This window comes from Homo sapiens, chromosome 16 (assembly GCF_000001405.40).
Source record: "Homo sapiens chromosome 16, GRCh38.p14 Primary Assembly".
Classification (NCBI taxonomy): Eukaryota; Metazoa; Chordata; class Mammalia; order Primates; family Hominidae; genus Homo; species Homo sapiens.
Window position 1 is genome coordinate 47367882 of NC_000016.10, and position 25725 is coordinate 47393606.

Genomic DNA, 25725 nt, shown 5'->3' on the forward strand with positions numbered 1-25725 from the left:
AGAGATGTGTCATAGTTGCCAAATCCCTAGCTGAAGTGTCAAGTGCTTTTTCATTTTAGAAAGATCACAGCATTGGCCCAGCGCAGTGGCTCATGCCTGTAATCCCAGCACTTTGGGAGGTCGAGGCGGGCGGATCAGGTCAGGAGATGAAGACCATCCTGGCTAACACGGTGAAACCCCGTCTCTACTAAAAATACAAAAAATTAGCCAGGCATGTTGGCGGGTGCCTGTAGTCCCAGATACTCAGGAGGCTGAGGCAGAAGAATGGTGTGAACCCAGGAGGCGGAGCTTGCAGTAAGCCGAGATTGCACCACTGCACTCCAGCCTGGGTGACAGAGCGAGACTCCGTCTCAATTAAAAAAAAAAAAAAAAAAAAGATCACAGCATTGGCCGGGCATGGTGGCTCACACTTGCAATCCCAGCACTTTGGAAGGCCGAGGCAGGCAGATCACTTGAGGTTAGGAGATCAAGACCAGCCTGGCCAACATGATGAAACCCCATCTCTACTAAAAATACAAGAAAAATTAGCTGGGTTTGGTAGTGCACACCTGTAATCCCAGCTACTAGGGAGGCTGAGGCAGGAGAATCACGTGAACCTGGGAGGTGGAGCAAGCAAGTGAGCCAAGACTGAGTCACTGTACTCCAGCCTGGGTGACAGAGCAAGACTCCATCTCAAAAAAAAAAAAAAAAAAAAAAAAAAAAAAGATCACAGCATTCAGCATTGTGTAGAGTGGATAGAATGTTTCATGAATGAATGGAAAAATCTCTCTTAAAATATATCAGCCTTCTATGAGATAAAGCTGAATATCAACTCAATATACTAACTGAAGTGAACAGATTACCCCACTGAAGGTCTATGAATTTTGGTAAATATATCTAGAAATATATAGATATAACCTCATGATTTATCTCTATCAAGAAATATTGAAGTAACAGCCTTCCATGTCTTCTAAGATGCCACTTTCACACTGAGCATCAATAGAAGAGCAATGCCCACTTCCAATTGCTGGAGGAAAAGAATACGTTCTGGCCATAGTGAGAGTAAGCAGAACACATTAGACATGTGACAGAGTTGGGGGAAAAGACAACACTTTATTAGACAACTTTTCCATTATTATCATCACTTGTTCTTTACTTTGCTTAGCAGTATAAACATATATAACTTCATTTCCATTCAGATTATTTACATATTTAATATGTAATGAAATGATTTAATAAACTGCATCATCAATATATTTTATCTCAATAGATAATACATTTTAAAGTGCAGCATAACTACGCTCATTTTCAAAGATGAAGCTGCTCGGTAGCTATTAATGAGGCAGGAGAAACATGATCAATACTGTTTTTCATTTTGAACATATTCTGGGAGAACAGTCTGGTGCAAAGAACACTAGAATTGGAGTAAGGTGAGGTGGGTTCCAGTCCTTTTTCACTGAAAAGTTATGTCACTTTGGGACAGCCATTCATCGTTCTAGGCTTCAGTTCTTCAGTTGTTAGAAGGGATTAAACATACTGTCTACTTGCAGGGTTCTGGAGAGGTCAAATGGAATGAAAGGCAACAGTGTTCTGCAAAATGCAACGTATCAGGCACCTATATGGTACTGTCATAATGGCAGTCCTGTGCTTATGATCTGCAAGTACTTTTTTCACAGGATGCCATTTGCTACTCATTTACTCCATGGTCTGACTCTCTCTTTTACTTTTGGATTGGAATCTCCACCTATTTGTATATTTATGTTCTTTAGTATGAGAGTAATTTTGTTATGAAACAAACAATACTACTTTTTTTTATACTGTACTATTTTTTAAAAACTGATAAATAATTATACATACTCATGGGGCACACAGTGATGTTGTGATACTTGTATAGTGATTGGATCAGGGTTTTTAGCATATCGATCATCTCAAACATTTATCATTTCTTCCTATTCAGAATATTCAATATCCTCTTTTTTTTTTTTTTTTTTTTTTTTGAGATGGAGTCTTGCTGTGTTGTGCAGGCTGGAGGGCAGTGGCGCGATCTTGGCTCACTCCAACTCCACTTCCCGGGTTCACGCCATTCTCCTGCTTCAGCCTCCCGAGTAGCTGGGACTACACACACCTGCCACCACTCCCGGCTAACTTTTTTTGTGTTTTTAGTACGGACGGGGTTTCACCGTGTTAACCAGGATGGTCTTAATCTCCTGACCTCGTGATCCACCCACCTTGGCCTTCCAAAGTGCTGGGATTACAGGCGTTAGCTACTGTGCCTGGCCTCAATATCCTCCTTCTAATAGCGGCAGGAGGCAGACAAATTCCTAGGCAAATAGGGATGGGTCCCCGGTGAAACCCGACCTTCAAACCAAAGAAAAACTAAAGCCTGAAACCAAGCAGCCAGTTCCGGGTAAAGTCCCCGACCAGAGTGAGAACTTCCTTGATGCCTCTTAGACAATAAAATGGTGCTTTTCCGAGGCCGCCATGGACCAATCCACATGCACTCCCCCATTCTGAGCCCATAAAAACCCCAGACCCAGCCACACGTGGGGATTCCCTGCTTTTGGGTAGGGGCTGCCCACTTCAGGTCCCCTGTCCACTGAGAGCTATTCTGTTGCTAAATAAAACTCTTCTCCACCTTGCTCAATCTCTGGTTGTCCACTGTAACACCCCCTTTAGGGCCCTGCAGTTGCTGGTGTCTCCAAGTTTTTAGATGCCACTATGCTCCCGTTGTCCAAACGCTGGCGCCTAAGTCAGAAGCTGCTTGTAGTATGCCCGGTTGAGCCTCAGCCTTGCATGGAGTTGGCGCCTGGGGCAGCTGCCCTGCACTTGCTTGCTTATACACCCCTCATCACGCAGTGCCTGGCTTGCCCACAGTGGGTGTGAGATTAGGACTGGTAGTGCGAGCCAAACACAGCCTGCCGGGTCGAGAGGGCAGTGCCAGCCCAGAGGTTGTAAGTGAAACTTGAGCAGAGGCCCCACCAGCGGTGGAGGTCTCTAGCTGGCGAAGTGGCACTGAAAAAATCCTGTGTCAATTCCAGGTATTTGAAACTATATATTATTGTTAATCGCAGTCATCCTGTCAACTGCAGTGCTATGGAACACTAGAAATTATTCCTAGTTAGCTGCAATTTTGGATCCTTTGACTGCAGCATTTCTTACTGTGATGTTCTTACCGATCTGCACTGTTTCCCTGCAATCCAAAATTCAACGAACTCACTAGGGGCTTCTGTTGCAGTCATCTCTTTACCTTTTCTTTTCTGAGTTGGTTTCTGGAATTATTGTGTACTAATTTCAATGACTTAAGGGTAGAAAGTTTAGAAACAGATTTCCTAGCTCAACTCGCAGCTCCACTGTTTGCTAGCCATGAGGCAGGAATAAGTTAGTCCTTCTTTAAGCATTCCTTGACTTATTAAAAAATGTATTTTTACAAGGATTTTGTGAGGATTAAGGAGATAATCCATATAAAATGCTCAGTATAGTGCCTAGCACACAGCATGCATTTAATGTTAGTAATAGTAGTAGGAACACTAGTAGTAATGCTGTTACTACTGCTACCACAACTACCAAAACCACTGAAGCAGTTAACCCACACCTGTTGACAGGAAGACTTTCTGCCATTTTCTACTTGAATTCCAACCAAATGTGTCATGTGGTAGCAAGTAGCCTTTCATAGATGACTATCAATGCTTTGGCTTTCATGTTTAATATTTAATGTTAAAACTGCCATATTTATAAAGGTAAAAACTGACCATGAAGCAGTATGTAATGATGACTGCATGCCCCTATCTTTATTTATGTAAAGCAGTGGTTCTCAACTGAGGGAATTTTAGTCCCCTGAGAACATCTGGCAATGTCTGCAGACATTTTTGATTGTCACAAGTGGGAGGTGGTTACTATGAACTAGTGAGAAGAGGTCAGGGACACTGCTAAACAATCGACAATGAACAAGACAGTTCTTCACAGAAAGAATTATCTGGCTCAAAATGGTGATGTGCCAACGCTGAAAAATTCTGACATAAAGGGTGCCCAAGGATCTGGTTTTGCCACTCTCTCTTTTTTTTTTTTTTTCCTGAGACAGAGTCTCGCTCTTTCACCCAGGCTGGAGTACAGTGGTGCGATCTCGGCTCACTGCAAGCTCCACCTCCCAGGTTCACGCCATTCTCCTACCTCAGCCCCCCAGTAGCTGGGACTACAGGCGCCCGCCACCGCACCCAGCTAATTTTCTGTATTTTTAGTAGAGAGGGGTTTCACCGTGTTAGCCAGGATGGTCTCTGGTTTTGCCATTCTTCACTCTTCCTCCACGACACTTACCTACTTTCTTCCTTGAGTTCTGTTCCTACATTTCTAACCAATTCCTTGACATGTCTCTGTTTTTTGCTTTTTTAAAAAAATTTTTAATATAGAGATGAGGTCTTGCTCTGTCGCTCAGGCTGGAGTGCAGTGGTGCAATCATAGCTCACTGCAGCCTCAAACTCTTGGGCTCAAGCAATCCTCCTGCCTCAGCCTCCTGAGTAGTTGGGAGACATATCTCTATTCTAAAATAATTTTTTTCCTGCCCAAAATTAGTTACTTCTTTCGTCTTTTCTATTTCTCTCTTTTTTTTTTTTTTATTTTTTGAGATGGAGTCTTGCTCTGTTTCCCAGGCTGGAATGCAGTGGCATGATCTCACTGCAACCTCTGCCTCCTGGGTTCAAGCGATTCTTCTGCCTCAGCCTCCCAAGTAGCTGGGACTACAGGCATGTGCCACCACACCTAGCTAATTTTTGTATTTTTAGTAGAGATGGGGTTTCACCAGCTGGCCAGCCTGGTCTTAAACTCCCAAACTCCAATGATCTGCCTGCCTCAGCCTCCCAAAGTACTGGGATTACAGGTGTGAGCTACTGTGCCTGGCCTCTATTTCTCTTATTGCTCACCAGAAGAAAACACAAGTAAGCACTGTGTTAATGGTCATCCCATATTCTCATATCTAACCCTTTTTGTCTATTTCCAACATTTCCTTCTTTAATCATTCATCTCTTTCCCAGGTTATTATAAATTCCTCCTAAATTTACTATAAACTTTAATCTCCCTACGTCCAGATGTTGCATGCTAACCTATCTGATATGCAGTGGCCAATTTAATTGCAATAATGAAGGCTCTGTTCATCTCACTCTCAGTCCTAAAACAATAGCTTCTCAGTAGATTTTTAAGAGATCATATTACTTAGTTTAGAGATCAAAGCTCTTGCTGATCTTGTATAAACCAATTTTTCTAGTCTTACATTTCAATATCTCTTTCATGTTCTGGCCTAAATCAGCCACTTTATACCATCTGGATGTGTCTTGTGTCTCCTGTGCAATTCCTTGCCTGCCTTTTCCTCTTTCTTTCTCACTTCCAAATCACTAAAATCCTTTAATTCATACTAGTCATGTTGAATACTACATCTTTTTTTTTCCTTTTGAGATGGAGTTTTGCTCTTGTCGCCCAGGCTGGAGTGCAGTGGTGCAATCTCGGCTCACTGCAACCTCCACCTCCCAGGATCAAGTGATTCTCTTGCCTCAGCCTCCGAATAGCTGGGACTACAGGTGTGCACCACTATACCAAGCTAATTTTCTATTTTTAGTAGAGACGGGGTTTCACCATGTTGGCAAGGCTGGTCTTGAACTCCTGACCTCAGATGATCTGGCCGCCTCAGCCTCCCAAAGTGATGGGATTACAGGTGTGAGCCACCACACCTGGCCTAAATACCACATCTTTCTTGAGGCCTTCACTGATAATTCTGGAATCAGATAGAAGCAACTGCTCTTTGAATTCCTGTAGCATAATGTATATCTCATCATACCAGCCAGGGTCATCCACACTCACATCCCAGCTCCTAGCCTACAAGCCCTATTCACTTCTGTAACTGCCAGAGCACTACCATGGGGCTGTACATGCAACTGATATGTAAGAAGATTTGTTGAGCTTTCATTCTTCTACTGGCTAATGTGGTTTTATAGGTTTTGAGGTTTTTTTGGCAAATTAGTATGTGACTGCAAAGTCTCTGTCCAATCTCTAATTGAAAATGATCATTCATTTTATGAAAACAAAACTTTATCTATCCTAGTTAATTCTGAATCTACTAATGATTAACTATTGTTACTGTGGAAACTGAGAAAGATTATCTCCTTGACCAAACTTTGGTTAGGCTCCTCTGAGAACTCTGCTTAACTTATCCCAACCACTACCCTGCCCAAGTAATTTCCCTTCCACTGACCCCCATCCTGCTCATTGGTTATAACATCCTGATTTTCCTTGTATTTGGAGGTGAGTCCAATCTCTTCCCCCTACTGCAAAACCCCACTGTAGGAGCACTCTTGAAGAAAATCTGCCTTACCATCTTTAACAAGAGTTTAAAAATACTTTTTTCTTTAAAAGTTACTTACTGATCCAGCCCTTTATAAGAAGAAAAACCCTTAGTCCCCATTTTCTAACAGTGAATTTATTAGTTTTCTTTAAAGAAAACAATAACAAAAGACCCAGTCAAAATCTATTTTATTCATCAAGAATCTTCTCCTATTGAGTTGCTTCATTCCATTAAGTTTAAATCAGCCTAGACTGAAAGAACCTCAGATACTTAAGGGTGTTTCATTATGTTCTATAGATATTCTACTTATTTATAATGAGGCTTCCCCCGACCCTCAGATACAAGTTAATCAAATACACCTCTCATTTTCTAATACTAGAAGATTCACTTGTGGTAGCAATGAAAGGCCACCTGCAAACAAACTTCTCCCAGCAGTGGGGACTTAATGTACGGCAGTCATAAAAATATAGCAACCATATTTCTATTATCAGAAAAACAAATATAACTGCATTTTTTTAAAAAGTAGTACATTAAATAAGTCTTTTTTGATTTAGATGTCTTACTTCCCCTTGCCCCATTTAAAAAAACAAAAAAAAAGAATCAAATTGCTGAGCTTAGAAGTAGTCGGAAGCTCTGATTTCATCTAAACAAAGCAACCCCCCATCGTAGTTTCCTTCCATGAAGAGATCTGAGTCATGACCAGCATCACTTACCATATTATGAGGGATGGCTGATAATGAGTCTGAGTCTCCTTCCATAAGTTTGTGCTTTACATTTCAAAAATCTGCTTATTTTTTATCAGCATTTTAATAAAATTTATAAAAGGTTATGGGTTTAATTTGGATTGAATAAAATACAATCAGGAGTTGCAGATGGGAAATCAACAGACCTAAAATTAAAATTCGATAAATGCCTACTGCATGTCAGGCATGTTACACAAACTGTTTCATTTGATCTTCATAAAGATCCTGTGAAGCAGAGGCTCTTACGCCCATTTTCTGTGTGTGGAAAGTGGGGTTCGATACTTGGCCAATACTTCACGAATGTCACTGTGATGGCCAGTTTGGTCTGGTCTCAGATCCTGTCTTCTACTATGTAGCCTGAAATTTAACTTTAAAATTTCAGGTTGTTTATTCTTCATTAATTAATCCATCATATAACTCACATCAAGCTAAAAGTAAAACAAAATCATGACATTGGTTTGGGAATCTTCTACTTACAATTAAAAAAAAAAAAACCCTATTGGGAAAGATTTCTTAATCCTAGTCAACGTGGCAGTAAGTTTGGTGTTTGTTGTCTTATTTCTTTATATAAGCCTAAAGGCAAAGGGGAAAAATTGGTCTTTTTAAAATAGTTTTTTTTCATAAACCATCATGCTGACAAATTAAATGACAGTAACTCTCTCAACAGCTGACAGCATAGCAGGGGTCCTGTTAACATGCACATTAGGGCAGCCTGATTGGTTTAATTGGCAGTCATGCCTAAAAACCTGCAGAGTAACTGATGCTGAATGAATCACTTCCTTCAGAAATATTCAGTAGTTTGAATGCAGCAATGCAACCAAAGGCTCTTAAAGTTTTCTATTTATTGTTGAAATCAACCAAGTGATTATTTTCATTTTATTTTCTAAAATTGTGTGCTTTTACTGAAAGCCATCATTTTAAAATGCTTCAAGGAAAAGATTTCTTACCAAATTTTCCCATATTTCAAACTGGAAGGTACTAGTGGTGGCATTCAATGTCGTCAGGAATAAATCTAGAAGGAAAAATAATAAAAACGTAAAGTTTTGTAGTCTTACTGATGTGTACATTTAAAAACAGAAAAAAAATGCAATACATTAAAAGAATTGACACAATTCTACTTAAACATATTTTAAATTATATTTTAACAAGTTTCATCCCATTAAAAAAAAAAGCAGATGACCCTGCATTAAAGAAAATGTATTTAACGAGGATATTTGGTATTAGTCCTTCAAGAATATTCCTTATTTCCAAGAATAGTTATGTGTCGCACTTTTTTTAAATCATGTGCCTTTTAATCTTTTTTATTCCAAAGTGTACTATATTTTTTAAAACAGATATTCTGATCGCAATCACATTTGCTTTCTCACCCTGAAAGCAAGCAACACTTACCTATATATCATAGTTTTCAGCATTATTTTAAATAACAGTATTTCACCACCCAAAAGTTTTTGCACTCATGTTAAATGAATAAATTATGTTTCAAATTTTCAGTAATAGAATTGTCTTCATAAATTCCAGCTAACGAATGGTTGTTTTATTGAAAAGTACAATAATTTTAATAAAATTTCTTTGAAAAAAAATAGGTTCACAGTCAAATGAAACATCCTATTATTGTAAAGGCCTATTACTGCAAACAAATCTATTCTAGTAGCAGCATTTATTATGTTTGTATCATGGCAATTTTACTTAGTGAATATATAAGGTATTAAAACGATGAGGTGGCTTATAGGAATATTAAAATAACATTACTGTTTTATGCTTTGAAAAACAAATTACTGGCAGGGCGCTGTGGCTCACGCCTATAATCGCAGCACTTTGGGAAGCCGAGGTGGCAGATCAAGACCATCCTGGCCAACATGGTGAAACCCCATCGCTACTAAAAATACAAAAATTAGCTGGGTGTGATGGTGCGCACCTGTAGTCCCAGCCACTTGGGAGGCTGAGGCAGAAGAATCACTTGAACCCAGGAGGCGGAGGTTGCAGTGAGCCAAGATTCTGATCTCCAGCCTGGAGACAGAGGGAGACTCTGTCTCCCCAAAAAAAAAAAAAAAAAAAAAAAAAAGATTCAGAGTGATGTGAAGGCCATGACTACTGAAAAAAAGAGTTTTTTTTTCCCTTCCTACATTAGATATGCTCAGAAAACTATCATTCACATTTTAATGTGTTTTCTGTAAGGGTGTCATATGAATTTGATGAAGCTAATTTATCTAATAATTGTAATAATAAAGATTTTCATGGAATCACCCAAAAGCTAAGGAATTTATTTTTATAATTAGTTGAACTCAAAACTCCTCATTCCAAGTGGAACCATTCTTTTGTCCATGTATCAAATAGCTCTGTATTTATTTCCACAACAAGGAAAATGCTTTGCCTGTGGATATGCAAATGTAGTCCTCTATGAACGTCATTTGTTTACTGTTACTCATGCACTCCCAATGACGTGTTACTTCCAAAGTCATTTGATCTCATTCCTTTTCTTCCAAGATGAAGGGCAAATACCTCAGCTGTTATGTGAAGGCTACCTTACCTACCTTTCCAGCCTCAATTCTGTGTTACTCCCTCACAAGAAGATTGTTTTCAGACAGAGCAAAGTAGTCGCCAGATTTTATCATGTTTTTTGACCTCTGTTTGCCTCTGTACATGTCATTCCTTGTCTCTGTAGTACCTTTCCACCTCACAGCCACCTGGTGAATGGATTCTTCAAAATTGGCTGAAATGTCCTCTTCCTTCTAGAGTTCCTTCCTCTCCCTAGACATAGCTTTCCCTCCGCTGTTATTCTCCTTTGCTACCTCTGTCACGGCAGTGATTACAACCTACCATGGTATTCTGGCTTCACATCTGCCTGTCCAAAGCTCCCTGAGGGCAGGAATCATGCCTAACGGATTTTTCTATCCCTGCTGTTTCTATGAGCTAGGAAATATAACATGTTCAAATGATTGCTGGATAATTATGGACAACATGCTATATGTATATTGTAGTTCTTGCAAATTTGCTTGGACGTCTAAAAATAATTGCTCTATTATGTCTTTAAATGGAAAGTCTTGGGGAAAGAAGGGTCTACGTTAAAGTGTTTCATTAAAAATAATCACAGTGACTACTGTACTAAGTATGTTTAAAAGGTGTTACATTTTTATAGCATCTGAAAATGGGAATAATCAGCATAAGAAAGTGATTAGGGATTAACAGCCACAGAGAATTCTAAGAATCACTAAGGGAGGCATGAGTGCAAGTTCTGACCTATTTGAAAGAACTAAAACTGAGAAAAGGGGCAAGCATGCTACTACATTACAGGTGAATTTGTTCAAACTGAAAATATCCAACTTTTGAAACTCTTAACCCATTTGAAAATAGAATAAATGTGGAGACATGTTTTCAACAAGAAATCAAAGGTCTGGTGTCTTGATAAGGCAGTTAGCGTCATGGGATTAGAAGAATGACTCTGTGACCACATATGGTTAAGATATGGTTAAGGGGGATAGTTAGAGGGAGTGGTGTAACTACCAGCAATTTATCGCCGCTCCTTGAAAACCAATTCAAAAATTTTTTTCCACTGGTGTTCTATTAGTCAGAATCTATATTTGCATAGAAGGTGAAAATTATGCCCTCTTCTTTCATGCATATTTAAAGAATTTAGGAACTATAACACACAATGCTGATTCTATTTCCATGGCTTTGCTAGCTATTTATTAAAACTTTGAAAAGTAGTAAAGCTAGTTGAGGGACTGGAAGTATCTTGTAAAATAGACTTTTTAAAAATATATCATCTTACTATTCAATTATGTAAAGGGGCATAGAAAAAATAAATGATTCATTACACAGAGAAACAAAAATAGAGAAAATTAATTATTAGTAATTAAATATAAAGAATCATGCCTCAGACTTTGAATGAAATGGGAATGAAGAAACTCCTAAAGAAAATTTTTAATCAATGAAGCAATAAAGTTCTCACCCTCTCACATGGCTAAGAGTAATTCACAAAATAAAATTAAGGAAATGTACTCCAGAAACTGTCATGGATGTGACATGCCACCCAGATGCCCTTTTGGGAATTAAGGATTTATTCTCTCAGCTTCTAGAAATATTGCTGGTAGACAATCCTAAGTGGTTAGCCCTCTTTGGAACAACTTCGGCTGAAAAGGAGCTACCTTGCAGAAGGTTGCATCCCTTTCTGGACTAGTCTGCATCCAATCAATGGTCAATTTGGAGGTATAAAGGCTGGACCCACTCACCACAACTCAGGACAACTCTACAGGGCCATTCCACATTCAGAGCTCCCCAGGGGTCCCCTTGAGGCTTTTACTGACACTGAATTGCAGCCCAACTCTGTTTCTGTCTCATGCCGTCCACTGGTTTTGACTCTAAAATGAAACTTCATGCCCATGAATCTCAGTCTCAAAGTCTGCTTCCCAGGAAACCCAACCAACAATAGTTGATACCAAAAGTGATCTGAGAAAACAGACACTAAGATGAGATTCTGGACTGGGCACGGTGGCTCACACCAGTAATGTCTGCACTTTGAGAGGCCGAGGCGGGCAGATCACCTGAGGTAAGGAGTTTAAGACCAGCTTGGCCAACATGGTGAAACTCCGTCTCTACTAAAAAGACAAAAATTAGCCAGGCGTGGTGGTGTGCATCTGTAATCCCAGCTACTCAGGAGGCTGATGCAGAATTGCTTGAACCTGGGAGGTGGAGGTTGCAGTGAGCCGAGATGGCGCCACTGTACTCCAGCTTGGGTGACAAGGGCGAGATTATTCCATCTCAAAAAAAAAAAAAAAAGAGATTCTGTAGTTGGATCACCTTTCATGGGGCAGGCAATATGGGTTCCTTCACTGGGGATAAGGCAGAGGCAGCCCCCAAATAAAACACCTTTTCCCCCACTTATCTTTTACTGCTGCTGTCTTGCAATAGTATTCTGGTGGGAGGAAATACACTAGTGGGGGTGTGATATTTTGTGTTTTCTTTTTTGAGAAATATGAGGCAAACACTAATGCTAAGGACAGGGTAATTAGACAGCTATTGCTAAGCTCAATTGAGGCAGTACAAGACAGATACAAAGGCTGAACATGATTGATCTGAAATTAAAAGCTAAATGTGAAAGGAAGAGGGTCTCTTGGGTAGCCAAAAAAAAAAAAAAAAAAAAAGAGGTTCTCACATCCCACACCAAAAGGGCAAGGAGGACTTTGACCAGTAAGAGCAGAAGAAGGGAACCCAAGAAGGTTAAATTCTCAACCATAGCAGCTCTGCTATGCTAAGGTTAGATCCCTAGGTTGGAAACAAAATACATGATTCATGGAAAGGGAACATCTAGGTTGATGAAGCAGAAACTCTGAGTCCTCAGATTCACGCAAAACTTCATAGTCTGCAGAAGTAGCCCACTCTTTGCTGTTAACAGCTAGTCTCCTTTCCTGTTTGATGATGATGACGGAGAAGTTCCTCCCCTCATTATGTGATTCACACACACCCCCATTCCTATGCTCTGCCCACCTTATCTCCTGGACACTACGCCAAAAAGTAAGGTTAAATTACAGTGTAAACTTAGCCAGGAATGTGATGGACAGGTAGGAGAAAGGGACTGCACTCTGAATTAAGTCAAGGACCTAGTGGACACGTACTGGCAGGAGCCAGAAGAGTGTGCATGAGACTAAGTTCTGCATGTATTTGATCAAGGCAGGGTGGGAGTTGGAAGAACAGGGTTGGTATAGGGAGAGTGGGGTGAGTTGTGGCTTGGAATAAAGATTTGGTGGCTTGGCGACTATATTGGACCCCTTTCACCCTGGAAGTGGCAGCAATTCATTTACAGGAACCATATATATTTTGGATATGGGTTTGTCTTTCCTGTTTTCAAAACTAAGTTTAAAAATGCTAATAGAAACAACATAATGATAGCTGATATCACTGGTATTCACTTGAACAAATACTCCATAACAAAAGATCACATCATGATTTCATGAAAAATTCAGGATTTAAACTCCAAACTCAATTAAGTTCTTTTTCATTAGATTCATTTAACAAGTAAAATAGTGAAAATATTCAATGCACATGCAGTTTCTTCCTCAGAAACTACAGAGACATAGACAAGTGTGTACAAAAACATTAAATGGTTTATGCTTCAATTATCTCCATTCATAGCTTGAAAGGAGTAAGCTACTGCATTTTAATCTTTGTCAACTGCAGCTTAGCCTTCCTTTCAAATGAAGAGCTCTCTGGTTAAAGTTGGCATTAAAAGGAAGCCTCAGGAGTTTTAGAAACTTAAATTGGAAGTCTAAATGAACTAAATCATATTAGAAAAACTCAAAACAAAGCTTAATGATTAATCATGAGCATGTAATATCCTTTTGATACACTATGGTATAAAAGAAGATGTTGAAAATTGTGATTTCAGGCACTATATCCTTCAGTGTGATGTCTCAAGTTTTAAGAAAAATATTCCGATGGAAATTAAAAGAAAACTATTCATAATATTATTTTGAGTTCCTGCATGAAGAAATTCTCCTTGGATAGTAATAGTTACTATTCACAGAGGAGTAATATTATGGGTTATTTTAGAAAAACATAGTTAATAAAACATTCGTAGTATTTTCTGTAAGCTGAAATGTCTGGAGACATTTCCACAAAGAATGGCTCAAAGCAGTATCATAACTTATACTGTTTCTATGCTCAAGCTAGGAGGCTATGCCAAGCTCATGTTTATATTTGTTCTATAGTAGTATCCAGTTTCTCTTAGGCCTAGTTATATTAGTGGAAGGGCAGCATAACAATGTAGAATAAAAATATCTTTAAAATAAAACACCTTTTCCTCCACTTATTCATTAAAAAGTATACTGAAGGCCATATGACTTCTGAAATCACTAAGACAAACCAGGTCATGCCAGCTCTCACTCTTTGCAGCAGCAGTTTAATTGCATTCTGTAGCTCAGAGGTCATCAATTGAAATGCTATAAGGCATAAGGCCTTAACTTAAATAAGTTAAGAAGGCCTGGTACAAACAAGATGATCAAATAGTAAAAAGGCAAGGGCATACAAACTGAAAAAGCATCTCAGGATAAGACAGACAGTAGTAAGTGAGGGAACTGGATGAAGCAAAAGAGATCATCACTGACCAGAGGGACAGAATTAATTAGCTCCAGACAATTGTTGTTGTTACAGAAATATGATTTTTAATATGAAAAATCAAACTTTTGAAATACTGAAACTTAATTCAAAATATATGAAACACAGCATGGGTCAAAAAAACTCAAAACATGTCTCCAGGCTGATTTTGCTCATGAGTATTGGTTTGAAACCTCTGATAGAGATGATTGCATTAGTTATATTTTTGTTTGCAGAAGATCAACCCTATTTCCTATATCAAATAATTCTGCCAGATCATATTTTATAAAGATGCACTAATTTAGTAAGATGATATCAGAAACGTGCTTGAATTGTTCCCCATTCACAAGTCTACATTTCCAAGAATCATTTTAAAATTTCAACTTTTAAGTTCATTATCTTCTATCTAGACTTTCTTTCTATTTCCTGAAACATGGGGTCCAAAATGAAGATTCACCATACTTAGCAGACAGCTCTGATGATCTCTAATTCAAGACGGTACACAACAAGTTACAGAGAGACGCAGACACCACACTCTGGAATCCAGGCACACAAGGCTGAAATCACTAATGGTAACAATGAACACATTCCTACCCTGTCTTCCGTCGTCAGTGAAATCATGATCAGAAGTCGGGGGGTGGGGGTGGGTGGTGGAAACCACTGGCTTTATTTATTTCAGATTGTATATAAACTAAAAATTTTAGGCAAAACCAATAAATTCCAAGTAACAGGCTGCTGGCAGCAAATAATGATAGGAACCTGTTAACTGCACTGAAATGGAATGTCTAAGGGGATTATAATTTTCCCTTGATGAGGGTTATTAACAAATGAGGAGTAAAAATTTTCCAATTACTACACTTTTATCATAGGAATTTATTTTTCATAACTTGTATGTTGAATTGTTAGGAGAAATGTAATCAAGACAATTGTGGTAAGTTAATGGTCCCCAAAGACTTAGCAATATTTTGAATTCTGGTGTTAAATATATGTATCAAGTGAAGTCACATATTTCCTCTACCCCTGTGAGGTCAGGACCTTAAGGAATTTCAGGGAGATTTTGTAGATTTAATATTTTCAATATTGGAATGTTTATATGGGTTAATAGACATTAATACAAACTTCAAACATAAGACTCTCCCCTTTCTCAAAAAGTCCTCTATGTTCCAGAAGGTAAAGAAGTCAACAGAGATAATACTTAATGATGGAAATAACTGGAGAACAGGACCCTGGCATCAATAATTGCTAAGATTTTCTGACTTCCCATCAACTTTCATTTATGTAAATTAACTTAAATGAAGGTTTTAAAATATAAATTTTAGAATTATATTTGCCCTGACGCGTTTTCTTAGGGCAATGAAATCAGTCTGCAATAATTTGGTTTATGCACTAAGGTTACTTAACTTTCATTCATCACTTTCATTCCAAAATCCTGATGCTTTCTTATCTTGTCCACCTGTGCCTCATTATAGATTTACAAAGATGTTACACTTTCTAGTTGCTCAATAGCTGCCTACACAAGCGCTACTATCCAAAAATGGTTTTTTTAGCAGCTGAAACATGGCATGCTGGATTTCTGAGTATTTATTTCCTCCAAATGAAAAGACTGGGCCGGGCATGGTGGCACACGCCTGTAATCCCAACACTTTGGGAGGCCAAGGTGGTTGGATCACCTGAAGTCAGGAGTTCGAGACCAGCTGACCAACATGGTGAAATCCCGTCTCTACTAAATACAAAAAATTAGCTGGGCATGGTGGCGCATGCCTGTAATCCCAGCTACTCAGGAGGCTGAGGCAGGAGAATTGCTTGAATCCAGGAGGCGGAGGTTGCAGTGAGCCAAGATCGTGCCATTGCACTCCAACCTGGGCAACGAGAGCAAAACTCCATCTCAAAAGAAAAGAAAAGACTGTATGTCAGTTTATACTGATGTTAAAGGACTTCCCAAAATTACATTTTTTAATGCATTTCTGTCTCCTGAGAGAAACATTTTTGACAGAACTCTAAATTTTCATGACATGATGGACTCCTAGTCATGGGGTATGTGTTAGAAAAAAACTCTTAATTTTATTCACAAAAATTGTGGCCAGACATTTAAAATCAAATTCAACTTCAAAGTGATTTATTTCTTAAGTGGCACAATTCAATCAAGGTGATAATGCTCCAAGAGTTATGAGAAGTTGCTGGTCTCTCTAATAACTGCTACCTCAGACTGAACTGCAAAACATGATACAGGTGGTCAGCTAAGGTTAGCAGTTTATTTCTCTTGTAAATCCAAGGGAAGGATGGTTAAAAATACAAAGTTAGTTATTTAAAAAGATTTAAACTCATTGTAACTGAAAATCAAACCTCTAACAGTAGGCACTTACGCTCCATCTAGTCTGGAAACCTGATTTGTGTACTGTCTTCTTTTTTTAACTATTCTTAGTTCACTTTCTACACACCAGAGAGGCATTTTCTGCTAGAATAACCCTGGTCTTAATGAAATAACCTGTCTCTAAGGTTTCCGCACATTATTTCTGGAACATACTGGAAGGGAATATTTTTCCTGAATCTAGAGCACTGTAGTGATAAAATGCCTGAAGTAATACAGTCTGATAACTTGGAAAAAGTAAAGCAAAATGTTACCTTTCTGGACTTCACTTACTTGCCTATAAAATGATGTGAAAGAATGATCATCAAATTTTTTTTCCACGTCATATCCACCAACTGATTCAAACATCTTTTAAATATCTCTGACTGCGTGGCAGTCAACTAGGTATTGGAGAGATAAACACAAATGATGGCGGGGCATGGTGGCTCACACCTGTAATCCCAGCACTTTGGGAGGTCAAGGTGGGGAGATCACCTGAGGTCAGGAGTTCGAGACCAGCCTGGCCAATGTGGTGAGGTTACTGTCTCTACTACTTCTCTCTACTCCTTCCTTGAGGAGGCAGATGTGGAAATTGACAAATACTATGTGGTAATGGCTCTGCTAGAATTATGAATACATACTATTGGAACAGAGCTGGCAGAGGTACTCTCTTGTTGGACGAATTTGAGGAGGGCTTCACTGAGGAAGTGACATTTGCACTGGTCAGAAACTGTGCAATTCGTTTTAAGAAGTTATTATATTCACATTAGTGAAATGCTAACATTACCAACACGTGACATTGTGTTTATAAAGGTCTGTATGTTTGAAATAAGTTAAAATCAAATAATCAGATTATTAAGAAACTTCAGGTTAAAGTAATTTATTAAAATAATGAGGCACACTCATGGCCTCTAATAAAATTAGTTCAAAAAAATTAAACAAAGTTTATTAATGTAAAATACACACTAAATACACTTAACAATTATAAAAATTGCTCTTATATGCATTCCAGTGGTACACAATCTGAAGTTGGTAATTCTGAGAAGTAAATAATTTCCCCAGCATATGGCATTTGATTAAAGTAGTCCCTAAACTTAATATGTGAAACTACAAAAAATTTCTCTTGAAGCAGAAACAAGTATAATAGTGATTAAACATGAAAATAAAATGTATATTAAAAATATTAAGGCTTCCTTTCAAAAGCTACATGAAATAATTTTAAAAACAATGTTAACTCTGAAAGCCTATCTTCAATCATTCTAATGCAGCAAAGAGTAAACCTTACAGTGACTAAGAACTTCTAATGAACCTTCTTTTTCCTCAGTTTTCTCTGCCTGCTGTAATAGCAGAATGCTAGTTATAGGTCATGCTGAGTGCTCACTTCAATGAGAAGACTTCAACCTTTCTTTTTTAATGTCAAAGGGCCTTACAAGAGAACCAAAACTTTGAGCTTTTAAAACTGAAGACTTAAAACACTGCACTAAAAACAAGGAAAGGCTGTTAAGCTAGACAGGACAGTTCTAATGCTGTTTTGTAAATTGATCATATTTAACTTACAGACTAATCTATAACATGGAAGAATATTCCTTTGGAGCATACATGATAAAACCTTCATCCTAAAAAAAGCCACAGCCAAAACAGTGGGCAAAATTCAAGGCCATTGACTTAAACAAAAAAACATCTGTTATCCGGCATTAGGACTGATGAGTTTTAGGTCAGCAAATGCCTACCAATTGTAAAAATTCCCTTCTGGAATGACAGTGTGATCCCTACAGACCTGCTCTCCAGTAAAACAAGCATAACTGGGGGAAATTATTAAAAAAAAATTTACAGTCTCTGGAAATTGTTCTGAGAGCATATAACAAACGAAGAAACATTTATTCAAGAAAATATACTGAAATCAGACAAGAAGAGCAAGAGCCTGTAACTTTTGAACTACTACCTGCTCTTTCTCTCCTCCTCCTAGCTCAGTGTGAAGGAAACTCTGCTTCAGGAAGCTGCAGCCAAAAACACAGGGCTCCCCCTCCACCCAGCTCCTAGTCAAGGACTGTGGTAACTTCTTGCGGGGCAGGCCACCATTTCTCATCTCCTCCTGCTATATGCTGTAGAGGCTAAATTCCAAGAGTGTGAGGTCAAGAGGCTGGGGACACCCCTTCTTCAATCCAGCCCCTACTCACAAAGGTGGAGGATCCATCTCTCGTGCAGCACACTAAGAATGGCAGGGGCCTAGCGACTCACACACCACCCCTTTTGTAGGCCTTTGGTTCAATGCCGGAAAGGGAAGCAAAGATCAGAAGCTACCACTCCAATGCAGTGTTCTGATCCTAAAGCAGGGATGCCTCTCAGGGGGAAAGTGTGTCACTGTCCTCACTCTCACCTCTGGAGCCATGCTCAGGGATTCTGCCCAGGAGAAGCGTCAGGCTGTAACAGGCAGCTACAAAGCTGTCCCCTAATATTTAAAACAGAGTGTGGGGAAGTTCAAGCCTAAGGGTATATTCAAAACAAATGGAGGTTTGATGGAAAGCAATAGAGAGAAGGCAGTCAGCCTCATGAAAGAATCAAACTAAATCACAGACCAGGGCTTAACAGAGAGAACTAGGGAATGAAGATCTACAGATAACCTTCCTGAAGTCTGGACAAACCTACAACACCAACCTACAGAACAAACCTGCAAAGGAATCCAAACTTAATTATATCAGACCATGGAGCAATTTATGACCCAAGGTATTGTCAAAAATAGAGCAATCAGCTGGCAATTACTGAAGCCTAACAGCTGAGTGTGATCCAGAAGGAGACAAAGAGAGCCCTGCTAAAACCACTGTCATACCAGGATGACAAGGTACGTCTCCAAAGCTGTAGCCTCTGAGGAGCAACATCAAAGGCTTCACACTACAGGGAAAATAATCTTTATTGAAATAGTCTAGCCAGTCACTAAACAAATAAGCAAGCAAACAACAATAACAAGCTTTGGGGAGTGGAGGGCAGTATCCAAAGTTGCTACAGTATATTATTGTGGAAAAGAATCTGGCTCCATTTTTTAATATTTGTCTGTTGACAGCTTTTAAATCTTACCCCTCCCTTTTCCTCTTGTGCCCTATATCTGGGCAAGCTGGTAAAAAAGCCAGCCTCCTTTGGTGCTGGTGGGAGGTTCATGCCCCTCAAGCCCTACTCATGCATAGGAACCTCACCCAGGCCCCACCTCCAAACAGCACACAAATAACCTTCCAAGGCAGTCTCCTGTCCTTGATCTCTCAAATCATTTTCAGACCAGTTTGGAAGGCCTGCCTTGCGGTTCCCACAAAGCCTCTTTATGTGATTGATAAACCTTCTCATACCTTCTTGGCTTTTGAGCCAAATTTCGGAGGGAAGACTGTGCATACTTTTTCTGTGGAATGACCATAACAATTACCTAAATGTCCAATAAAAAATTATGAGACCCATAAAGAAACAGGAAAGTATAATCCATATACAAGAAAACAGAAAACCAAAAACCTGGCAACAGACAGTGCTGTGAGAGGGACCAGATGTAAATTTCACAGACAAAAACTTTAAAGCAGCCACTACAAATATGTTAAAAAAAAAAAAGGAAATTATGCTTAAAGAAGTGAAGTGTGCCTTATCAAATATAAAATATCCATAGACAGAAATGATAAAAAACCAAATGGAAATTATGGAACTGAAAGTAAATATACTGAAATAAAAAATTCACTTGAGGGGCTCAACGTTAGCTTTGAACTGCCAGAAGAATTAGCAAACTTCATGACAGATTAAGCAGCCTGAAAAACAGAGAGAAAAAAAGGATAAGGAAAAAATGAAAAGAATCTCAAAGAAATGTGGGGCACAATTAAGTACACCAAGATATACGTAATGGAAGTTCTCTAGTAGAAGTGAGAGAGAGAGAAGACAAAGAAAAATTTGAAGAAATAATGGCTAAAACCTTCCCAAATTTGATGAAAAACATTAATATTCACATCTAAGAAGCTCAATAAATGTGATGCAGAATAAATGCAAAGAGATCGAGACCCAGATAGATAAATCATAGCAAAAATGCTGAAAACCAAAGAAAAAGAAAATTTTTGAAAGAAGCAAGGGAAAAACTATTCATCACATAGAAGAGAATCCCAATAAGTTTAATGGGTGACTTCTCATCAGAAACAATGAAGACCAGAAGGCAGTGGGATGACATACTCCAAATGACGGAAGAAAAAAGCTCCTGTCAACCAAAAGTCCTACATTCAGGAAAACTAATTTTAAAATTTAAGAGGAAATAAAGACATTTCTAGATAATGAAAAACGGAGATAATTCACTGCTAGCAGACTCACCTTGAAGAAGGAATTAATGAAATCAACTATAACCTAATAGTAGTAGTAACAGAAATTTTAAAATCCTCTTAAAGTTGCTGCAAAGTGTGACCCCGTCTTACACTCAAGTTAAAAGAGAATATTAACAGCCTGTCCTCTCTCTGTGGACAGTGTACCTTATCTGTACTCCCCAACTCCATATTCCTCAAAGTTTATTACAGGCCCAGGAAGTTCCTGCACGGCTGCAGGGTCACAAGACTGGTAAGTTTAGGTTGCAAGACATGTTTCCCTCAAGATATAAGGAATGTTGTAATGCTGCCTTTGTTCCTTGCTTCTGTAACTCGCTTCCCGCCTCATGTTAGCTCCCACCTTAAGATGTTTAAAAGTAGGAAAAGCCCTTTTTCAGGGCTCAGACTTTCTGGACATATGTCTGGCTGAGCCGGTGATCACCTTAATTTAATAAACTCTCCTGAACCTTTTTCGGTCTGACTGTCCCGCAACAACCTTATAAAAAATACTAAAGTTGCTCAGGATGAAAGCAAATGACCCCTGATAGTAATTCAAATCCATAGGAAAAAATGGTGCAATTAGTAAAGGAATTATGTAGTTAAAAAAGACAGTTTAAATGTATATTCCTTCTCCTTTCTTAACTGATTTAAAAATGCAACTGTAATAAAACAATATGTATATAATTGTATCACTAGGCCCATAATATATAGAAATGTAATATATTTGCCAGCAACACCAAGAAGGTGAGTGGGAGCAAAACTGCAATGGACCAAGAAAATGACACCAGATGGTAACTTGAATTCACAGGAATAAAGAAGAGAACCAGAAACAGTAACTAAGAAGGTTAATATAATAAACATTGTAAATAATATCTGTCTACTGTCTTCTCTAAGCTTAAGAGACATAAAATTATATAAAGTAATAATTATAACAAAGTATGATGGGTTTGTAACATATATAGATGTAATATGTATTACAATAAGGGGGAAAGAGAATAGAGCTATAAACAAGTGACATTTCCATGTCTCACTGCAATTAAGTTAGTACATATCTGAAGTAGATTCTGATAAGATATATGTAGTAAGCCCTATAGCAACCACTAATCAAAATAAAAAGTTAAAAAAGTTACTAAAGGAATTAAGATGTTACAATAGAAAATATTCACTGAAAGCAAAAGAAAGCAGTAACGTAGGAGTAGAGGACCAAAGGACTGAGGCATAGTAAACAGAAGGCAGATGTAAACTCAACTGTTGCAATAAGAACATTAATAACTTGTCAGTGAATTAAACAAGTTCACCAAAAGACAGAGCTTGTCAGACTGGACAAAAAATGCCTATCGAATGCAAAGATTTTAGTTTGGGTACAAAGCTTAAAATAAGCCATTTTCAGGTCCATGAACTTCCACGTGGAAAGAAAAGCAGCATGAGATGTGTATGGAGAAGCATTCCTTTTCAGTCTGTTAAGACTGGAGCTCATCCATTCAGTTCACCAGATGGACAGTTATACACACTTAGATAAAGGTGGTAATCACTGAGGATCAGGACTGAATCTGACATAGGCATGGCATGGGCTGACATCACCAGTCATTGTGACAGAGAATTCCTAAGGAAGCATCATTAGCTGAAAGTTTGTTGTGAGGTTTTTAAGTCTTTGCTCTTTATTTGGTAATGAGTTCTGTATGTGAAATCAAGGGGAAAAAACAGATGAATGCTGCAAATAACCTTACATAAACTGACATAACTTCGGAATGAAATAAAACCAGATATAATAATTCTTGTTTATTATTATTTATTTATTTATTGAGATAGAGTCTTACTCTGTCGCCCAGGCTGGAGTGCAGTGGTGCGATCTCGGTTCACTGCAACCTCCATCTCCCAGGTTCAAGCGATTCTCTTGCCTCAGCCTCCCAAGTAGCTGGGATTACAGGGCACCCGCCACCACGCCCGGCTAATTTTTTTATTTTTAGTAGAGATGGGGTTTCACCATGTTGGCCAGGCTGGTCTCAAACTCCTCACCTCAGGTGATCCGCCCACCTCGGCCTCTCAAAGTGCTGGGATTACAGGAGTGAGTGACCGTGCCCGGCCAATAATGCTTATTAACAGAAATATTTTGCCTGAACTGTATAAGGTATTACTTTAAAAATCCAATACTGAAATAGGCTCATTTGCTCTCTTAACAAATATTTAATGAATATAACTGCATATAATACATTATACTTAAAGAAAAATCTAGTTTGAGTGATTAGACAACTATTTCAAATACTTGTAATTCAATTTTATATAATTTTTATATGAAGTTGAAGTGAAAAATATCATTTAGGAAGAGACAAATAAAGTCCATGGGAATCCCGAGCCTGTAGAGAATCTTAGTAGCTGGGGGGCATTAAGAAAGTTTCATCAGGCTTTGAAGCACAGGGACTATCTGGACACATACAGGTGCACGGAGAACCCACAAGCAGAGGCACAAAGGTGGGAAAGGGACATGGCAGAGAACTTCAGATCAGGTTACTCAGGGAAATATGTTGACTTAGTTATAATTTAATATTATGCCCTCAACTACTATACAAGGCACTTATACACAGTGTACATTTGAGCAAAGTTTCTGAATGTTTTATAATCCTACAGTTGAAGAGAGTCTATATAAAGACACCTATATTTTCACAGAATTGAAGTTCCAAGTAAACGTATCTCTGTAGATGAATGTGGGTACTTTCTTCTATGAGACATTCAAATAACTTTCCTTTTTTGTCTTAGCTACCAATTTACTCAGAGTAAAATTTAGTGCACTAATTTTTAATGTTGCTTAAATGTTTAGGTCGTATTTAATGCCCTGGGCCTAACAACTCTTGGGATCTTTCAGATCATCTCTGAGACGTTTTAAATTTTTTGTCCATATTTTGCAGCATATATAGTGTTTAAAGTTCTTTCAAATTCTTTCAGAAACAGTAATAAAAACACTAAGTATAATTCTGTTATGCTTATGTGACCTATGTGAAAGGCTTCTGAAGATCCTTTTTGAAAGTCAGGATAAATATTAGAAATATATATGTGCATGCATCTTGTTAGATTACTGAAGGATTTGGTTATTAAATTATTTTCTGCCCACTCTGACACCCTCATATGGGAATCAGAATTCAGTTATATTACCTTTGATGCATTAATATCCTAGGAATTATTTCATTATTGGGACATATATGCATAGACATATACACCTATCCCTTCGTCCATTTTTCAAGGAATATTTATTGGGTGCTTAATATATGCCAAGTACTGTTCTAACTGGAAATACAAGAGTATTTCTTGGCGGAAACTTTTGCTCCTTTATTTTTACATATAAGTAAGTAAAATAGGTCACACTAAAGAGAAAAATAAAGATAAGAAGTGTCCATGTGGGAGGGGTGTTTGGAATTTAATGAAAGCAAACTTACAAAGTGATATTGAGTAAAGATCTGAAGGAGGCTGGGTGCGGTGGCTAATGCCTGTAATCCCAGCGCTTTGGGAAGCTGAGGAGGGAGGATCGTTTGAGCCCAGGAGTTTGAGATCAGCACCAGGCAACATAAAGAGACTCTGTCTCTACAAAAAACCCTCAAAACGACGAACGCCCACAAAAACCACAAAACAAATAGATGTGAAGGAGATGAGGAAGTGAGCCCTGTGGATATCTGGGGGAAGAGCGTCCTGCTGGGCCTCAGCCGTGTAAAGGCTGGAGGTGACAGTGTGTCTCAAGAACACAGGCCATGGAGGTCTGTGTGGCTGGGACAGGGAAATAGAGCAGGAGAGGAGGAGATCAGGTCTGAAATGTGAGGCATCAGGCTGTGCAGAACCCTGTGATCTATTGTAAGGACTTGAGTTTTACACATTATGGTATAGACTGCAAAGAACACAGGTTTGGGAATCAGAGTCAGCTGTGCCAGTCATTAGCTATGTGACTTATGGGCCTTTGTTTTCTCTACTTCTTAATTAATTTATCAATGAAGTGGGTGTAATATCACCATTTATAGTAAGTTGATTTCACGCATGAATCGGAAAAGGGTGAAATGAAATAATGTATGGAGACTGTCTAACACAATGCTCTGTTGTAAGGGGCTTAATAAATCTTAGCTTCTTTGAGGTGCTCTCATGTACAGTAAGGAACAATATCTGACACTGGTCTCACAAAATTTACAGAGCCCTCTGGGACAAAATATTTAACAACCTAAATGTAAGTAATAGAAAAATCACCCAGCCACAGGTTTTTGATCAGAAAAGTACTGACTAGCTCACAGGTGTCTTAATCCAAGGCCACCCCTCCACAACTGGCAGGTAACTAAAGAAGAGGCCAAGCATGAGAAGCTATGTCCAAAGATGGATAATAACTATTTGTTGGACCAGAATTCTAAATGGAGAAAGACAGATAAATTTGACCAGCTAGTAGAGGGAGGAGAAACAAATATTAAGAGATGCAGAGCTAGAAAAGAGGTAGCACTGCCATTTTAGGGCAACTAGAACTTAGATGCTTAGGAAGAGATAGGGAAGGTGACATGGTCCCCAGAGTTTCCTGGCCCTCTAACAAGAGCCAACAATACCCCTTAAGGTGTCTGCTCCTTTTCTGACTACACTGTACTCGAGGGTGCCTGAGCCTGTATTCCTTTAGCATAATTAGATAACTAGCAGTGCGATGCTATGAGGCAGTGCACCATACACTATCCAAGGGGCTATACTGGTATTGAACTCCTAGGTGTTAAGGAGAAGGTCCTTGGTAGATTGGAAAGATCCTTCAAGAATGAGCAGTGGCAGCCGAGTGTGGTGACTCATGCCTGTAATCCCAGCACTTTGGGAGGCCGAGGTGGGAGAATCACTTGAGGCCAGGAGTTTGAAACCAGACTGGCCAACTTGGCAAAACATCGTCTCTACTAAAAATATAAAAATTAGCTGGGCGTGGTGGCAAGAACT

The 25725-nt window shown here is 38.7% G+C and overlaps 1 protein-coding gene across 2 annotated transcripts in view, besides 1 other annotated feature; it reads right to left on the reverse strand.

Moving 5' to 3' along the window:
- Nucleotides 1-25725, reverse strand: part of ITFG1 (integrin alpha FG-GAP repeat containing 1) — a 306856-nt gene that overhangs the window by 213491 nt on the left and 67640 nt on the right. For both annotated transcript variants that reach the window (NM_001305002.2, NM_030790.5), the window contains exon 7: nucleotides 7995-8059. In NM_001305002.2, coding sequence (NP_001291931.1) covers nucleotides 7995-8059 — 65 coding nt within the window. The remainder of the gene's footprint in view (nucleotides 1-7994; nucleotides 8060-25725) is intronic.
- Nucleotides 18697-19197: an enhancer, noted in NCBI's record as "H3K27ac hESC enhancer chr16:47420489-47420989 (GRCh37/hg19 assembly coordinates)". NCBI's record gives its function as "activates a minimal SCP1, AML or CMV promoter by ChIP-STARR-seq in naive H9 embryonic stem cells {active_cell/tissue: H9 hESC(naive)}" and the evidence as "EXISTENCE:reporter gene assay evidence [ECO:0000049][PMID:30033119]".